At 35.5% G+C, this 16,586-nt stretch overlaps 1 protein-coding gene and 1 non-coding gene across 25 annotated transcripts in view; one reads left to right on the plus strand and one right to left on the minus strand.

The window, feature by feature from the left end:
* The window catches only part of DDX60L (DExD/H-box 60 like), a 123,758-nt gene that overhangs the window by 103,423 nt on the left and 3,749 nt on the right, over nucleotides 1-16,586 (minus strand). For 16 of the 24 annotated variants that reach the window (XM_047416399.1, XM_005263341.5, XM_047416395.1 and 13 more), the window contains 4 exons: nucleotides 12,539-12,652; nucleotides 12,298-12,367; nucleotides 11,590-11,779; nucleotides 1,542-1,883 (listed from right to left, as the gene is read on the minus strand). In XM_047416399.1, coding sequence (XP_047272355.1) covers nucleotides 1,542-1,883; nucleotides 11,590-11,779; nucleotides 12,298-12,367; nucleotides 12,539-12,542 — 606 coding nt within the window. In that variant the 5' untranslated portion in view covers nucleotides 12,543-12,652. Of the gene's footprint in view, nucleotides 1-1,541; nucleotides 1,884-10,173; nucleotides 10,681-11,589; nucleotides 11,780-12,297; nucleotides 12,368-12,538; nucleotides 12,653-15,838; nucleotides 15,964-16,586 lie in introns of those variants that run through there. The other 8 variants (XM_011532403.3, XM_006714408.3, XM_047416397.1 and 5 more) reach the window with 3 other exon arrangements.
* LOC124900181 (small nucleolar RNA SNORA51) lies at nucleotides 11,252-11,382 on the plus strand. Its single transcript, XR_007058529.1, has one exon. It is a non-coding gene; the product is annotated as a small nucleolar RNA SNORA51 (small nucleolar RNA).

Consider the following 16,586-nt stretch of genomic DNA (forward strand, 5'->3'; position numbering starts at 1 on the left):
AGAATTCATTTCAAAATGTGAAAACTGGAACAAGACTAGATTCACTCATAAGATTATTAATATATTTTTTGACTCCCAAGTTTCATAACATAAATACTGCATAAACCTAATGTCAACTATACCAAAATAATGAGCCTATCATAATGCTTTGAAAATTCTTCAGACTTCATGAGTTTATGTTAAGGAATGAAATTATCTCATTACTTGCTTCTTTGTCAGTCTTCTTCATTTCTTTCTCATTAAGGGTCCTTCCTCCATGTTACCCATCATTTCACTGCCTATATGCAACACAGGAACCTCTAAACACATGGATTTCCAGTTAAATGCATTTCTTGCTTTCCAGGATCTGGGCGGCAGGACACCCTACGGCTAAATATAGAAGCTAGAGACATACTCCTTTGGGGAAATCCACTGTCAACCTTTTATTCGTAAAGGAAAACCACTTCTTTACTTATAACACTAACAAAAAAAAAAAGTATGGGTTTTCCACACCAATAATTGCCTAATTCTCTCCAGACACCAACTGGGTGCCATATAATTTAATTCCATTCTGACACTAACTACCCTGGGTTAAGGCAGGCCGCACAGGGTAAGGACTCAGTCCAACAAGATTGCCTCCCACTTCAGACACGAATCACAAATGCCGGGCTTCACATGCTGACAGACCAGCTACAAATCTGGGGTTCCCTCCTCACGTTTGGTAATTTGCTAGCATAGTTCACCAGAACTCAGGAAAAGTGGTTTGCTTGCTATTACCAGTTTATTATGAAGGATTCAACTGTGGAACAGCCAGATGGAACAGATGCACAGGGCAAGGTATGAGAAGAGGGGCAGATGGCCCCAGTAACACCCTGGGTGCACCACCCTCCCAGGACTTCCCAACCTGGGAGTTGAACAAACCTCACTGTTCGAGAGTTTTTATAGAGCTTAATATCTAGCCCCTCTTACTCTCCTTCCCAGAGGTTGGTGGCTGGGACTGAAGCTTCCAGCCTCTGATGGCTTGGTCCTTTTGGTGGCCAGCTCAACCCTGAGGCTATCCAGGGGCCCCACCCTAGGTTACCTCATTAGGAAAAATTCAGATGTGATCAAAAGCAGCTCCTTACAAATAACAAAAGACATTATTATTACTCAAGAAATTCCAAGGGTTTTAGGGGCTCTGTGACAGCAACTGGGGATAAAGTGCAAATATATTTCTTATTATACTACAATTAGGTACTCAACATGAGCAAATTACTTCAATACTCTAAATATTCTTTTACAGATGAGGTGACAATACCACAATTAGATATGAATAGATAGATATAATAATGCTACAAACCTTATAGGAGTACCCTGAGAATTAAGAGAAATTTAGAAAAAGGAATTGGCATAAGTGCTTAATAAATGTCCATCATTATCATTGTTACCATTATTAAATGTATTACCTCTTTGGAGACTGCCTATAATAAGTTCCATTAAAAATACAGAAAGAATATTGAGTTAGTGATTTTGAGAATTAAAACAAGAAATCAGGAAAAAAATGAGTTATTAATGTCAATTACCTCCTTGGAAAAAGTTTGGTTTCTGTCTGTGCTTTCCATAGTATATGCATAAAATCTGAGAGTATCAGATTCATGCCCTGATGAAAGCACAACATTGACTTTCATTCCCCAGGAATGTATGATTAGGAAGTTAAAAAGGTACGTTTGTAAATCACTCAGGCCTTCCTCTGAAACTATCAGAAAATACGGGTAATGCTGTTCCAAGAATAACTTCCAATCTTGTGATAAGCATCCAGAAAACTCCGTTTGCACATCAATGTTAGTATTGTGTTGAAGGTGGAGAATTAAAGCGGTCCTCAATGAAAGAAGTTCAGGAAAATCAAAATATGCATATTCAGCATCCTGTGGTGAGAAAAAGAAACAAGCACATCATTTTCAAATCTTCCTTTACTTATTTGTTAATTTTGTTGCTTACAGCACAAAGCTATACAGGACTGAACTCATGTGATCTAATTGTTTTGCTCAAGGGCCTTAAACTTGACTCCTTTCACAAGTGCATGCCACAGGTCAAAATGTGGATTATATAGATTCATCTCTTTTATTTGAGCAGGCATACACTACCACTTCACTTCTAATTCTTTTACTATCTATGTTCAAATAGGGATTAAAGTAGCAAGTGGATAGATGTATTTCATCTGAATTGAGAAGCTGATGTGAATCACTATTAGTAGATAAAAATGTAACATTCCAGGTGATGTGTCTCCTCCCTAAATAATGTAAGTCTTTTCTTGGCAAATCAAAATTTCTATTTTTCAAATTTACAAGAGAAAAAAAAAACCCACTAAAAAGTGGGCAAAGGACATAAACAGACACTTTTCAAAAGAAGACATATGGTCAGGCACAGTGGCTCACGCCTATAATCCCAGCAGTTTAGGAGGCCGAGGTGGGTGGATCATTTGAGGTCAGGAGGACGAGACCAGTCTGGCCAACATGGTGAAACCCTGTTTCTACTAAAAATACAAAAATTAGCTGGGCGCAGTGGTGGGTGCCTGCAAGCCCAGCTACTTGGGAGGCTGAAGCAGGAAAATCGCTTGAACCAGGGAGGCGGAGGTTGCAGTGAGCCGAGATCATGCCACTGCACGCCAGCCTGGGTGACAGAGAGACTGTGTCTCAAAACAAAAACAAAAACAAAAGAAGACACACATGCAGCCAGTAAGCATATAAAAAAAGCTCAGCATCCCTGATCATTAGAGAAATGCAAATCAAAACCACAATGAGATACCATCTCACGCCAGTCAGATGGCTATTATTAAAAATAATAAAAAATGAGAGTTAAAATAACTCAACATCAAAAAATAACAGATGCTGATAAAGTCGCAGAGAAAAAGGAATGCTTAACACTGTTGGTGGGAGTGTAAATTAGTTTGACCATTGTGGAAAACTGTGGCAATTCCTGAAAGATCTACCATTCGACCCAGCAATCCCATTACTGGGTATATATCCAAAGAAATATAAATCATTCCATCATAAAGACACATGCACGCATATGTTCACCGCAGCACTATTCACAATAGCAAAGACATGAAATCAAACTAAGTCATTGATGATAGACTGGACAAAGAAAATGTGGTACATATACATCATGGAATACTATGCATTCATAAACAAGAATGAGATCATGTCCCAAATGCAAAAACAGAAATCCAAATACTGCATGTTGTCACTTGTAAGTGGGAGCTAAATGATGAGAACACATGGACACATACAGGAAAACAACAGACACTGCAGCCTATTGGAGGGCGGAGGGTGGAGGGTGAGAGGTGGGAGAGTATCAGGAAAAATAACTAATGGGTACTAGGCTTAATACCTGGGTGAAGAAATAATCTGTACAACAAACCCCCATAAGACAAGCTTACCTACATAACAAACCTGCACATGTACCCCTGAACTAAGTTAAAAAAAAATCTGTTTTTAAATGATATTGACACTCTAGCCTACTAGACTGTCATAATTTAAAAAGAACCCTGACTTTTCTATAGGTATCAATCAAAACACTGCTTTCACTTTTAATGGTGCCAAAACTAACCCCCACCCCAAAAAAATCCTATGTATAAAGATTGAACAAATATAGACTAGAATTCTTAGGAGTAAAACAACAATTGCTTCTAGGAGTAGGATGAGGGAATGGGCTCATAATATACTTTTGTATTTGGGTTGAGATTTGTTACAATTGGAAGCCATTCAATCTGTAATTTTTAAAAACCATAGTATAATACACTGTTGAGGATGTTTATATAGATCAATCCAAATAAGGATAGTGCCTCTATTGATTTGCCATTCTACTGGAATGTAAATACAATTTCTTCTCAGTTTTGATCCTAAAGTGCTTCCTAGAATTTAAGCATACAAAATCAGAGAGCAAAGAAAGATGGTTGAGGGAAGTCTCCTCCTACCTCATGTTCCTAGGTGTCCTTAAAATAAGTATCTATTGTTGCAAATAAAAATTAATTTTAGCTATCAACTACTCTGACTTAATGACATTTCTAGAAGATTATATTCAAGAACTGTAGAATATATATTATTTCCAAGAACACATGGTACATTCACCAAAATAGGCCATGTATTGGACGTCAAAACAAGTCCCAATAGATGTTTAAATTATTGAAATTATACAGAAATATTTTCTTCAACCACAATGGAATTAAATTAGAAATCAATAACACATCTAGAAAAAACAAGAATTTATACATTAAAACAATAGTTTTTTAATTTTTAAAATCATCCTTAAGTGACTTTATAATTGTATTTTTTTTTTTTTTGGTAGAAACAGGATCTCACTTTGTTATTCACACTGGTCTTGTACTCTTGGCTTCAAATGATCCTCCCCATTCAGCCTCTCAAAGTGTTGTTATTACACATGTGAACCACCTCACCTGGACTAATTGCACATATCTATGGAGTACAGGGTGATATTTTGATATATATGTATACAATGCATAATGATCAAATCAGAGTAATTAGCATATTGATCACATCAGACACAATTATTTGTGTGTGTGCGTGTGTTGGAAACATGCCAAATCTGCTCTTCTAACTATGTGAAAAAATGCAATAAATTACTGTTAATTATATCCACCCTATGGTGCAATAATGTCCTCCAAGATCATCATGTTGCCACAAATGACCGAATTTTGTTTTTTATAGCCAAATAGTATTATATAGTGTATATATACACCACATTTTCTTTATCCATTCATGTGTTGATGAACACTTAGTTTGTTTCCATATGTTGGCTATGTAAATAGTGTTTCAATAAACACAGGACAGCAGATATCTCTTTAACATACTGATTTCCTATCCTTTGAATATATATCTAGTAGTGGAGTTGCTGGTTCATATAGTAATTCCTTTTTGTGTTTTTTGAGGAACCTCCATACTGTTTTCCATAATTACTGAATTAATTCAAATTCATACCAGCAGCATATGAGTTACCCTTTCTCTACATCCTTACTAGCATTTTTTTTTTGTCTTTTTGACAACAGCTATTCTAATGGGGTGAGATGCTATCTTATTATGGTTTGGATTTGCATTTCTCCGATGATTAATAATGTTGACTATGCTTTCATACATGTGTTGGCTATTTGTATGTCTTCTATTGAGAGATGCCTATTCAGCTCACTTGCCCACATTTTAATTGGATTATCTTTTTTTTCTTTTGCTATTGAGATGTTTGAGTTCCCTGCATATCCTGGATATTAATTCCTTGTAGGATAAATACTGACAAATATTCTTCCCATTCTGAAGGTGTCTCTTTACTCTGTTGATTATTTCCTTTCCTGTGCGGAAACTTTTTAGTTTGATATAATCCCATTTGTCTACTTTTGCTTTTGCTACCTGTGCTTCTGAAGTCTTCTCCATAAGATCTTCACACTAACCAATGTCCTGAAGCATTTCCCCTATGTTTTTTTCTAATAGTTTCATAGTTTTGGGTCCTACATTTAAGTCCTCAATCCATTTTGAATTGATTTTTTAATATAGTGAAAGTGAGGGTTCAGTTTCATTTTCCTGCATATGAATATCCAATTTCCTGAGCACCATTTACTGAAGACACTGTCCTTTCCCCAGTGAACGTTCTTGATATGTTTTTGTCAAAAATCATTTGGCTGTAAATACATGAATTTATTTTTGGGTTCTCTATTCTGTTCCACTGGTCCAACTGTGTTTTTATGCCAGTACCATGCTGTTTGGGTTACTAGAGCTTTGTGGAATACTTTGAAATCTAGTAGTGAAATACCCCCAGCTTTTAAAACAACAAATTTCTAAATAATCCACCAGTCAAAGAAAAAAGAATCACAAGAGATGTTAGAAATTATTTCTAATTAAATGGTAAAGAAAAAACCATTAGATGCAAATTTGTGATATGTAGCTAAAACAGAGCTTACAAGAAAAATTTTACTGTTCATAAATAGAAAATAAAAAAGATCTTAGCTTAAAATTTCAATTTATGAAGTTAGTGGAAAAAAGAGTAAGGAAAATCCAAGAGAAACAAATAAAGACAAGAGTAGAAATCAGTGAAATTAAAAAAAAGACAATACAGAAAATTAACAAAGTGAAAAAAGCTAGGTCTTTGAAAACATCAGCAAAATTGATAAATCACTAACTAGATTAATCAAGAAGAGGGAAGACACAACTTAGCAATATAAAGGATAAATGAGGGCAGAAGAAAATGGAAATTATCACAATAGAGAATCTGTGAGGCTTTGTCACATACAGTAGATGATATTATGGCTTTCACACATTTTTTAAAAAGTTAACTCCTTATTTTCCCTTAGCAGTATATCAGGTTATAGAATCAGAGATACAACAATGACAAATTACATTTCAATTTGTAAAATTATGTGATGATATTTATCATTCGAAAATAGAGGAATAAAAATCTGTCCTCATTTCACCAGATGTGAATTTCAAGTAGAGCAGTTGCTATTAAGAGTTGGTGCATGTTTCTGACCAGTCCCCTCCTGTTATGGCATCACTGGTTGTCACTAGCAGCTAGCCAAAAAATAAAGTCTTATTTTGCTGTATTAGTCAGGATTTCTGCAGTTTATGTTTAAAAACTGGTTTAGAGTATCCAGGTGATGGATATATGGTCCATGTATCCCCTTTTGGTAAGCTATAGTTACAATCTGTGTGCTTTGTTGCCTGCTACACAGAAAGCAGCAGATAATCAAAGATTTAAGGGACACAGACAGCTGCCAATTCACAAAATGAGAGTGTAACATGAAAGCTTTTTAGAGGTTTTTTGTTTGTGTTCTAACAAAACATGTTAGAACACGTTTTGTTAGAATACGTGTTGCTTTTGCAGTGTTCTTCTTTTCCTTAAGACAGGAATCAAGCTTACATATAAACTGTTGGTAATTTTAGTTTCCTTCTGTGTTATTCAGTGTAAAACTGCATAATCTGAAAATGAATGAAAAAATAAATATTTAGTGGCTAGGCACAGTGGCTCATGCCTGTAATCCCAACACTCTGGGTGGCCAAGATAGGTGGATTGCTTGACCTTGGGAGTTGGAGACTAGCCTGTACAACTCAGCAAGACCCCATCTTTATAAAAAATACAAAAATTAGCCAACCATGCTGCCACACGCCTGTAGTCCCAGCTACTCAGGAGGCTGAGGTGGGAGGTTCACTTGAGCCCAGGACACAGAGGTTACAGTGTGCCAAAATCATGCTACTGCTATGTTGCAGCCTGGGAGACAGAGTGAGACCCTGTTTCAAATTTTAAAAAAAGAAAATTTAGTTTCCATTCCAAAAAAAAAAAAAAAATGAAAGAAGGAGCTAACTAACACTAACATCACTACAAATCTTTAGGCAATAAGAGGAAAATAAGAGAATATTATAGGCAACTTTATGCCAAAACATTAGACAACTTAGATAAGGCGGGCAAATCCCTTGACATATACAATTAACAAAACTGACACAAGATAAAACAGAAAGTCTAAATGGCCCTATATTTATTAACGAAATTGACTTTGTTATCAAAAATTTTATTCCAAGGAAAACTCTAGACCCAAATGGTTTCACAGGAAAATTTGATCAAATTTTATCAAATTCGTCTGAGGAAATAATACCAATCTCATAAAGACTTTTTCAGAAAATAGAAGAGGAAAATGGACTTTTCAACACATTCACCAGGTCGGCATGATCCTGATACCAAAACCAAACGAAGGCATTATAAAAAATAAAATTGGCCTGGCACGGTGGCTCATGCCTGTAATCTCAGCACTTTGGGAGGCTGAAGCAGGCAGATCACCTGAGGTCCAGAGTTCAAGACCAGCCTGACCAACATGGGGAAACCCCATCTTTGCTAAAAATACAAAAATCAGCCAGGCATGGTGGCGCATGCCTGTAATCCCAGCCACACAGGAGGCTGAGATAGAAGAATTGCTTGCACCTGGGAGGCAAAGGTTGCAGTGAGCCGAGACCATGCCTTTGTACTCTAGCCTGGGCTACAGAGTGAGACTCCATCTCAAATAATAAATAAATAAATAAATAAACAAGTAAAATTACAGATTAATGTTTTTCATGACTATATACCAAAAACACTTAAAATATTAGCAAATCAAACCCAGCAATATATTAAAGAAAGGATATCTATCATGACCAACTAAGGTTTTCCCAGGAATAAAAGATTGAATTAATATTTAAAAATCACTTAATGTAATCTACCAAATTAAGAAAGTAAAAGAGGAAAGGTGTATCAGAGTTTCCATAAATGTAGAAAAAGCATTTTTTAAAATGTAACACCTATTAATTATAGAAACTCTCAGAAAACCTAAAATAAGAAGAAATTTTCTCAATTTGATAATGGATATATGTAAAATAACTACAGCTAATATGATACCTAGTAGGGAAATAATGGATACTTTCCCTTTAAGATCAAGAACCAGGTAAAGATTCCCACTCACTCTACTTCAGCATTTCTAGAGATGCCAATCACTGTAATAAGGCAAGAAAAAGCAATTAAAAAATAAAATTGGAAAATAAGAAATAAGCATGTATTTATTCACTGAAGACATTAAAAAATCTAAGAAATATACAAATAAGCCACTGAAATTAATAAGTTGTTTTAATAAGATTGCAGGATACCAGTTAACAAACAAAAATCAATTCTACTTCTATATACAAGCAGCAAAAACTAAAAAATTATTTTTAAAAATTCAATTTACGGTAAGATCAAAACATGAAATATCTTGAAATAGATTTAGCAAAAGATGTGCAACGCCTCCACACTGAAGACTACAAAACTGATAAAACAAATTAGAGATCTTAAAAAACAGAGATACATATTGTGTTCACTAACTGAAAGACTATATTGGTCTACAAATTTAATGAATATCATTAAAATCCCATCGTTCTTTTTAAATAGAAATTGGCAAGCTGATTCTAAAATTCGTGTGGAAATGCAGAGAACCTAGAATAGCCAAAGTTAAACAAAGAAGAACAAAGTGGGCTTCAAGATTTACTATAAAATTACACAAATCAGGACATTGTGGTACTGGTAATTTGTTAAATCCTTTGATGGAACATAGTAGAAAGCCCAGAAATGGACCTACACATATATAATCATTTGATTTTTTGATGAAGAAACCAAAGCAATCCACTGGTGGAAGAAAAATGTTCTCAACAATGGATGCTGGAACAAATCAACCTCAATCCCCCATTCACACCACAAACACACAAAAATTAATTCAAGAAATATCATAGACCAAAATGCAAAAGCTGAAACTACATACTTCTAGAATTATTAATAAATATAGGAAAATATCTTTGTGACTAAGAGATAGGCAATGATTCTTATCAGGATACAGGCACAATAACCATTAAAGAATAATAAGTTAGATTTCACCAAAATTAAAATATCTGGTCATCCAAAGATAGTACTAAGAAAACGAAGTGGCAGCCGGGCACGGTGGCTGATGCCTGTAATCCCAGCACTTTGGGAGGCAGAGGCGGGTAGATCACGAGGTCCGGAGATTGAGACCATCCTGCTAACACGATGAAACCCCATGTCTACTAAAAATACAAAAAAATTAGCCGGGCATGGTAGTGCATGCCTGTAGTTCCAAGTACTTAGGAGGCTGAGGCAGGAGAATGGCATGAACCCGGGAGGCAGAGGTTGCAGTGAGCCAAGATTGCGCCACTGCACTCCAGCCTACGTGACAGAGCGAGACTCTGTCTCAAAATGAAGTGACAAGCCACAGACTGGGAAAATATATTTGCAATAATATACATGACAAGAGGTTGTATACAGAATATATCAAGAACTACTACAACTCAATATTAAAAAGATAAAGAACCCAATTTAAAATGGTCAAAAGATACGAGCAGATGCTTCACAAGTCATAGTATACAAATGAACAATAAGCACTTGAAAAAGTAGGCAACATCATTAGCCATTTGATAAATACCAATTAAAACACAGGGACATAACACTACACATCCACCAGAATGGCTGGACTGACCAAATACAAATGTTTGCAACTACACAGGGCACCAGAACTGTTATTCATTGCTGGAGTGAGTGTAAAGGGGCACAACTACCTTAGGAAAAGCTTTGGCAGTTTTATAAAACATATATTTCAACCACAGATACATGCACAAGGAAAATAAAAACTTACGTCCACACGAAGACTTGCATGTGAATGCACATAGTAGCTTTATTCATCTAGGCAAGATATTGAAAGAGATTGCTCAACAGGAAAGTGTCCACTCAACAAGAAAATGGGTAAACAAACCGTGGCACATTTCTACAATAAAACCTTACTCAAAAGTGATAAAAGGAACAAAATACCACTGCACACAACAAAATGGATGCCTCTCAAAAATATTATGTTGAATGAAAGGTTTATACAAAGAGTTCATACTGTAAAATTCTATTTATTAAAAGTTCTAGAACTTTGGGAGACCAAGGCGGGTGGATTGCCTCAGGTCAGGTGTTCGACACCAGCCTGACCAATATGATGAAACCCTGTCTCTACTAAAAATACAAAAATTAGCTGAGCATGGTGGCACGCGCCTGTAATCCCAGCTACTTGGGAGGCTGAGAGAGTAGAATCACTTGAACCTAGGAGGTGGAGGTTGCAGTGAGCCGAGATCACGGCATTGCACTTCAGCCTGTGCAAAAAGAGCGAAACTCCATCTAAAAAAAAAAAAAGAAAGTTCTACAACAGGCAAAACTCAAGAAGGCAATAGAAAGGATTTAAACAGTGGTTGCTTCTAGGGGATGGGATGAGGATGGACTGGGCAGGGGCATGAGAAGACGTATTGTGGAACAAGAGTTTGGGTTACACGTGCATGCGTGTGTCAAAACTCAATGTACTGGTAAATACTATGCACGTGCCAAAGATCGTTAAATGGCATTAGGTTGGAGCAAAACTTTTTGTAACACATTTAAGATCTGTGCATTTTATTTCATGTAAATTTTACCATCAAAAAAACCTGCAAATAAGTACCGAACTCTAGTTAATGGCATGTATGATGAAGTGTTTCAGAGTTAAATGTAATGTCTACAACTATTTTGAAACGTACCCCCAAAATAAAAGGATTGACAGGTGAATAAAGGCATGGATAAGCTTACAGATATATGAAGAAGTAAGTAAAATAAAATGTAATTGTAGGATTTAGATGGTGGGATATAGATATTTGCTCTACAACCTTTCAACTTACCTGTATTTGAAATTTTATAATAAAATATTGAAACTTAAAGAATGGGCTTGCTGGTGCTTACCACAGGCTGAATTCTTACACTGACTATATAGAAAAGGAGGTAGAGTAAACCTACCCAATATACCCCTCAGCCCAGGCTCTGTGCCTGATCTATATTGTGAATGTGGGAACATAGAGTTGAGGGAAAAAAATTTAATAAAATAAAAAATAAAGAATGGTTATCTCTGAGTAGTGAAATTATGGGTAATTTTTTCTTTTGTTAACCTGTCTTTTTATATTTTCTATGATGACATGCTTCATTTTAGGTCAAAGGCTCTTTAGGTTAAGACATTTCAGTTATAGTCTTCAAAGGACTAAAACGACATCAATCATCATATATTACCTTAAAGAAAACTATGGTGAATTGTCCTCCGTTACTCAGAAGATCCACAAGATAGCATTCAACCAGATAGAAAAAGTGGAGATTCTGTCCCCACTTGAATGATTTTACACCCAGGCATGTGACAAGCAAGGAATCTCCATCAATCACAAAAAAATTAGATTCCACAAAATCATTTAATATGCTGGAATACCTAAAATAAAAATCAAAGAGAATAAAAATCACAGATGTTTCACAGAGACTTTGTTGCTGTTGTTGTTACTATTATTGCATAAGCTACTGTTTGTTGAGTACCTCATGCCAGTCCATGATGCCTTTTCAAATACCTCATTTAAGCAACTGTCCTTTATAAGAAGGAGATAGCACAATTACTATTTTATTAAAATAAAATTAGGCTCAGAGAGGCAAAGGAAATTATCCAATGCTAAATGGCAGAGCCAGGATTTGAACTTGAGAATATGATTCTAAAGGCTGTTATTCTGGATAAGGACATATATAACTCCCAGCTCCATGAATCTGATTGTTTTAGGAAACAATCTGTTCAGTGACAGCTAAGACAACTATAGGAAGAAGAGTGCGTTCCCATCATCTCCAAGCTGCTCCAAGATAAATAGGTTGAGTGATCATGTATATGTATATGGGTTAAGAGGGATGTGGAAACACAGAGCATACAATAGTATAGCTCCTTCTTTTTTACTTCACAGTACTTACCCAGCTTTTGGCATTTCATTCAAAATTAACTGTGTCATTTCCCTGAAAAATACTGCATGATCCTTTGACCCTAAAAATAAGGAGATTTTTTGAGCCATCAATATTTTTACACAGCTATATAATTTAGTAATTATTAAGGAAATGAAATATAGACATCCAATTACTTTGTAACATTATTGAATCTGAATATCTTACAAGATTGTTGCTTTATAGGCTACAAATATCAAAGATTGAGAATTACCCATCGTTGCTGCTTCTTGGGCTACAGGGTAGAAGAGTAGAGCTGGAATTTATTAAATATGGCTGATTTATTTTGACACCTCTAAAATGGCTACATTTGATGTGAATGGCACCTCTGTAATAAAAGAAAAAATAGAACTGCAGTTATTCCTAAAACAAAGAAATGGACCCAAAAAATATGGTTACATTTTCCACAGAGCAAGCAGTCTAGTAAATAAGCAAAGATTGATCAAATAATCATACAAAAAATTTCAAATCACAAATGTGACAAAAGGCACAGAGATGAGGGTGGCTTCCCTAAGGAATTAATGCATGAACTGAGATCTGAAGGAATGAGTACTCCCTTATAGTTAATTTGCCCCCCAAAAAAAGCAATAAAAAGTATTCTTGGCAAACAGAACAGCATGTGCAAAGGCCCTGTGACAGAGGACAGTATGGAAAGTACAAGATTCAGAAAAGAAGTTAGTGCGGCTGCAGCAGAGGGTAAGGCTGTGTCAGATAAGGTTAGAGAAAAAGGAAGCTAGGCAGTCTTTTAAGGAATTTTAAGGTGTTTCGTCTTCATCTTCAGAGCTAAACTCAGCCATTGATGGGTTTTAAACTGGTTGTAATTTGATTACACTTGCACGTGGTAAACATTACTCTATCTTTAGTAGAGAGAGCAGATTGGATGGGGAGGTGCATAAAGAAAGCTACTGAAATAGTCCTGTAGAAAGATGATGGTGGTTTGAGCTAATGTGGTGCTATTTAGAGCTGGAGAGATGTGGATTTATTGGGGGGCCATTTTGAAGATAAATGTGACATAGTTTGGCAATAGATTCCACATGGGAAGGGAGAGTTGGGGAGTGTCACAGATGACTCCTCAGATCCTAGCAAGGACAGGAGGATGGACGATGGGGCTTGAACAAAGCACACTGAAAGGTGGCCAAGTTTCTGGGCTAGAAATAGAACTATCAAGTCATTTGATTACTAAAGATAACTGAGGAAATGAGTATATATCACAGGTAGAGGAAATCACTGAATGCTGCTTATTAGTGACTCTGGGTCACCCCCAAAATAAGTTTCTGGCCACTCCTGATCACTCCCAAAATGAACTTTTGGCACTCAAATCCTTGTCTTAGGAGGTGATTCTGGGAGAACTCACTTCTTCACTTCATATTAACCATAAAGAATAGCAGCAAAATATGGTTAGAACTCAACATTGCCACAGGATTGGTAAGTAGAAAAGTATTTATAGCCAAAGTAAGTACAGTCTCTGTGAAACTGAAGGGACAGAAAGCAGAATGCATTTATTCAACAACTATTGAATGAGCAAACACCTGCTGTGTGACAGGCGCTGCACTTGGGGGTGGGAGTACAGTGAAAAGGACAAAAGTAGGCTTTGCTGCACTCTAGGAGCTTATCATTTAGTGGAAAAACATTAATAAAATTTTAAATATTTAAAAGTTAAGTACTATTTGAAAAATAAAAGAGTTATAACGAATTGGACAGGATTGCTACAGACAGTATCTCCAAGAAAGTGACATTTCAGATGAGCCCTGAAGGAGTGAATGGAGTGGTCATTCAAAGAGCCCCTCCCATTTAAGAGAGAGACAGGTTAGGAAAGCCTAAAACAGCTTTTTTATTAAGCACTGTAGTTTTTAAAATTTATAGTATGAATATAAAAGTAAGGATCGTCAGATATAACATACTGATCAGACAGAAAATAAACACCAAAAATGACAAATAAATAAACAAACTAAAAAACATCAAAATATTCTAAAAGACATACTGAGAAAAAGAGATAATTTAGAAGTCAGAAGAGAACTTTAAAAAATTCCACTAGAATTTTCATACAGAATCAAAGATACTGAATCTATGAAATAGGAGCTTGCATGCTGCTATTGAAAAGAAAAAAATACAGGAACAAGAAAGCACTCTTGAAAATTCAAAGCAAGATTGCAGATATAAAATAAATTAGTTTGCTGAACAATAAAACAGAATCCCAAGTTAAAAGACAGAGTCCAGAAAGACAATGAGATAGAAATAAAAGAAATATTAAGACACATGAAAGATTGATCGAAGCTTATATAATCCATTAAAAGGTAATCCTGGAGGAAATAACTGGGATACCAGAACGAGTGGTGAAAATAATTGAAAACATACTGTGAGAAAATGTAATTTAAGAAGACTGCCTCAGGGCTGAAGAAAAATATGAATCCCTGGATTAAAAAGGTTCTCCAAAAACAAAACAAGTTTGATGAAAAAAGAGAAAGCCACAGCTAGATATATCCTGATAAAATTTCAGTACTCCAAAGATAAAGAGAAAATCTAACGTCTGGCAAAAAAGAAAGACATTTTAGCCACAAAAGAATCAAAATGAAAGAGGCATTAAAGTGAATAAGAACATGAGCTCTGAAACCAGGATGCCTGGGTTGAATTCCTAATTCTACAACTAACTAGTTGTGTGGCCTGAGGCAAATTGCTTACCATCTCTGTTTCTGTTTCCTGTCTGCGAATTTGGAATACTATTATTATCCTAGGGTTGTCAAGATAAAATGTGTTAATATATAAACTGCTTAAAAAGCACCTGGACGTAATGAAAACTGATTAAAGTCAGCTCTTTTAACATTATGGCCAACACTGAATGCTCTGACATATGACCAATGTCTTTCATCTTCTTTAATGCTTTGAAAAGTCTACTGTAATCAAGTTTTAATTATATAGAATGCATTTCCTATTTGGATCTGATCACAAAACTTGACTCCATAATGAATACTATGTATACAGTTATGTTGTGTTTGTTTTTCAATTTTTAGACTCAATGTATAGATAAATAACAATGAACTTAATTTATTCAGAGAACCAAAATGTAAATGCTTTGAACATTGACAATATATTAAAATAGCTAACCAATTTGAGAAGTACAAAGAGGGAAAAATGTTAGGAAAAGAGTAGGAATGCTATTATTATCATTTATAAAAAAAAAAATAGGGAGCCCAGAAATAGCATTCAAAGATAATGTTATATACTAAATGTTTATGTCCCCCCAAAATTCATATTTTAAAGCCCTAAACCCCAGTGTGATGGTAATTGGAGATGGGGGCTTCAGGAGGTAATTAGGATTAGAGGAGGCTATAAGGATAGGGTCCTTATCGGATAGGACTGGTGTCTTCTTAAGAAGAAACATCAGAGAGCTCATACTCTCTCCCTTCTCCCTTCTCCCCTCCACCCCGCCCCTCCCCCTTTGCTCCTGCTTGCTCACTCTCTCTCTCAGAACACAGCAACAAGGTAGTCATGTACAAGCCAGGAAGAGAGCCCTCACCTCACCAGAAACTCAATCAGCCAGAATCTTGATCTTGTACTTCACAGCCTCCAGAATAGTGAGAAATAAATTTCTGTTGTTTAAGCCACCACTCTATAATATTTTGTTATGGCAGCTTTAGCAAACTAAGAGAGAAGATAAATCAAAAAATAAAGATTTAAGAAATAAAAGTTTTTAAAAAGAACATGTTTTGCAATGAAAAAACAAACACTTATCCCCTATTGTCAATACAAAGTGTAACTCTGATTAAGTAAATAGTATGAGAAGTTTGTCTTTACAGAAGTAACCCAGTTCAAAAAAATAAAAGAAGAAATGAGGAATTTATATTTTCCTCATTTTGAAACATCTAATAAATTAATGGATCTAGATATTGAACATCAATGAATACTAATACCATAAAAATGGAGATAGCAAGACATTCTCTGTCTCTGAATGGAATATGATGCCATCTATGTGAACTCTTAACAAAAATATAAAAAATTAAAAAGAACTGATTATGCCTCTAATTTTAAGAACTAACAGAGAATAGCGAGAGGAGACAAAGAGTCAGAGATGAAGAAAGAGAGAGAGAAAGAGGGAATCCTATAGATTAAAAAGCAAGACATTTATACACCAACTGTAATGTGAAGACTTTCTTTTGGATTCTGATGGAAGTTAAAAAAAATTGAAAAAAAAATCATATGCATCGGATCAGAGGTATCAACTATCCACTAAAATTCATGCTCCTCCTTCCACATTTAAGAATTAT

Source organism: Homo sapiens, chromosome 4 (assembly GCF_000001405.40).
Source record: "Homo sapiens chromosome 4, GRCh38.p14 Primary Assembly".
Taxonomy (NCBI): domain Eukaryota; kingdom Metazoa; phylum Chordata; class Mammalia; order Primates; family Hominidae; genus Homo; species Homo sapiens.